This window comes from Homo sapiens, chromosome 15 (genome assembly GCF_000001405.40).
Source record: "Homo sapiens chromosome 15, GRCh38.p14 Primary Assembly".
Lineage (NCBI taxonomy): Eukaryota > Metazoa > Chordata > Mammalia > Primates > Hominidae > Homo > Homo sapiens.
Window position 1 is genome coordinate 46765670 of NC_000015.10, and position 3622 is coordinate 46769291.

Consider the following 3622-nt stretch of genomic DNA (forward strand, 5'->3'; position numbering starts at 1 on the left):
CAGAAACATCTTAAGTTTATAAGGCAAATATTTTCAGATGAATTACAATGCTGATATCACCAATAACAAGAGGGCTTTGTTTTGGTTTGGTTTTGAGGCTTTTTGGTTGCTCCAAATGATATCTTATGATGCTTATGTGGACAAAAAGAGTCAAACTCTTTAAAATATTTTAAGAGATTTATTCTGAGCCAAATATGTGAGACCATGGCCCATGACACAGCCTTTAGGAGGTCCTGAGAGCATGTGCCCCAGGTGGTTGGGATGCAGCTTGGTTTTATACATATTTTAGGGAAGCATGGCCCATCAATCAAATACATTTAAGAAATACATTGGTTTGGTTCAGAAAGGTGGGACAACTCAAAGCAGGGGCTTCCAGGCTATAGGTAAATTTAAACATTTTCCGGTTGACAATTGGTTGAGTTTATCTGAAGACCTGGGATCAATGAAAAGGAACTTTCAGGTTAAGATAAAGGATTGTGGAGACCAAGTTTTATTGCACAGAGGAATCTCTCAGATAGCAGACTTCAGAGAGAGACAGCAGGTTGTAAAATGTTTCTTATCAGATCTAAAAGGGTGCCTGGCTCTTAGTTGATTATCTCCTGGATCCGGAAAGAAAGGAAGGAAAACAAAGGGGAAAGGGGATTCTTTATAGGATGGGGATTCTAGTCCTATAGAGACTTTGCAGGGAAATATCAAGGTATGGCAAGGAAATATATTTTGGGGTTAAATATTTTTTCCTTGTCTTGTAATGTGATGCCAGAGTCGGATTGAAAAGTCAGTCACAATGTATAGGGTCAAACAAAACCCGTCTGATGAGAATGTATGGTTTGTAGGGCATGACTCCCTAGACCCCTTAAGTAGGAATTTAGGCAAGATAAAAAATCAGAGTTTAGCCCTTAGTCCCGCTTCTTGGTCAAAAAGCATTCCACAGAATACATATGCAGGCCAAGAAAACAGCAACAGGTCCCATGGCACTAGGAAAGCTTATTCCTAGAGTTGTCTGATTTGGCCATCTGGCAGTGTCCCATGGAGCTAGGAAGGCTTATTTCTAGAGTCCTCTGATTTGATGGCCTTAGTTTTAAAAATTAGTGATTTGCATAACCAGGGGGGGACATGGTCTGACCTGATGTAATAGCCAATTGTTTAAGGTGTGAGATGGAGTCAGGCCTAAGGTTAAGTCTTAAAAAAAAAAAAAAAAAAAAAAAAAAAATTCCGGATCACATCTATTTTCAGAGCTATCATGACCAGGGTCTTTAACTGTGCCTTTACCTGCTGCTGTCTCTGGCATAACATTTACGAGGAATGTCTACGGTTAATATAGTAACAAATATCATAAAGATAGTGAAGATTTGAGCATCCAAGATTACAGGTAGCATCTGACGGCAGTAAACAACCCAATTAGCCAGAAAAAAACCCTGAATGCAACATCATATTCTTTGATCAACATACAATATGTTTACCCTCCTTATTAAGGGTTATTTGAACCCTATAATAAATCTTTTTTGAAAATTGTGTGACCAACATTAAATTAGAATTTACTAAATTTAATCTCTCTTTCAACCAATTTATTTCCATAGGTATAGCCTCTTGAGAAGGGTATAAATTAAATGCAAGAAACACCTGGTCCTCAGTGTTTAAATTATTATAGACTTGTTAACAGTAGACAAATCTATTTTTCCCACCACTTTTGTATTGCACCATATACTAGTATTTGGGAGAGAAGAGCTTTTGTCACAGGAGAAGTCATAATTCTACAGTGTCATTTTTTCCCTTGGCAGGACTCCCTGTGGCTGAGGGTCTTAAGAATCAAAAGACTTATAGCCAATTAATTATTTTAGGATATACAGAAATGGATGTGAACAAGCATTTATTACTTCTTACGATTATTTAAGAAAAAAAAAAAGCTGACAATAAAACCAAAAGGTAAAGTTACAACACTGACTTATTTTTAACTTTTATGTGTTAAGCTACTGTAAGCTTGGTTTCTGTTACAGACTTATAGCAATTAGCTATACAAAACATAAGCATTGTTCTGAAAAGTAATTGAAAATATGCATAAATGTATAGATATATTTATCTTGGCAACCTATAATTGGGAGTATTACACCCAGGAGGTTTGCTACAAGGTATTTTATCCTGTTAGTAAGTATTTTCCTTTAATTTTATAGTAAGCAGAAAACTTTTGTGGTTGGGTGTTGCAGGAAGTCAGGGACCCCGAACGGAGGGACCTGCTGAAGCCGTGGCAGAAGAACATAAATTGTGAAGATTTCATGGACATTTATTAGTTCCTCAAATTAATACTTTTATAATTTCTTATGCCTGTCTTTACTGCAATCTCTGAACATAAATTGTGAAGATTTCATGGACATTTATCACTTCCCCAATCAATACTCTTATAATTTCCTATGCCTGTCTTTAATCTCTTAATCCCGTCATCTTCGTAAACCGAGGATGTATGTCACCTCAGGACCCTGTGATGATTGTATTATCTGCACAAATTGTTTGTAAAGCATGTGTGTTTGAACAATATGAAATTTGGGCACCCTGAAAAAGAACAGGATAATACCAATGTTCAGGGAACAGGGGAGATAACCATAAGGTCTGACTGCCTGCGGGGCCAGGTGGAACAGAGTCATATTTCTCTTCTTACAGAAAGTGAATAGGAGAAATATCACTGAATTATTTTTCTCAGCAAGGAATAGCCCTGAGAAAAGAATGCATTCCCAGGGGGAGGTCTCTAAAATGGCCGCTCTGGGAGTGTCTGTCTTATGCAGTTGAAGATAAGGGATTAAATACGCCCTGGTCTCTTGCAGCGCCCTCAGGCTTGCTAGGATTAGGAAATGCCACCCTGGCGAATTCTAGTCAGACCAGTTCTCTGCTCTTGAACGCTGTTCCCTGTTAAGATGTTTATCAATGACAATGCGTGCACAGCGGGACATGGAACATCATCAGTAATTCTAATTTCGCCCTGGCCTTGTGACCTTGCCCTGCCCTTCCATCCTTGTGATCTTTTATTGCCCCTAAAGCATGTGATCTCTGTGACCCACTGCCTATTCATACGCACCTCCCCTTTTGAAATCCCTAATAAAAACTTGCTGGTTTTGCGGCTCAGGTGGGCATCATGGAACCTGCCGACATGTGATGTCACCCCTGGAGGCCCAGCTGTAAAATTTCTCTCTTTCGCACTCTTTCTCTTTATTTCGCAGACTGGCTGACACTTAGGGAAAATAGAAAAGAACCTATGTTGAAATACTGGGGGCTGGTTCCCCTAATAGTTGGGGTGTATGCAAAAATGATACATAATGGTTTAGAAGGCAACTAAATGTGTTTTACCAGCTGTTTAGGCATTTTATGCACCCCCTTCTTGATGTGGAGGGTTTGATCTTGTCCTAATTTTATCCCTCACAACTGGTCCTTACAATCTTATGCATCTACCGTTTCTGCAATAAGTCCCTGGGCCTAGAGGGAGGCAGCTTGCGTAGTTTTAGCAGCTGAGCATTAGCAGTGAAACAGATCCAGGGCTAGCAGGATGCCAAATGAGGGAGAGTCCTATCTTTGGTCTTTAGAATACCATGATTTTGGTTTCATTGGAAGTGAAACAAGGAGAGATAAATAACATTTA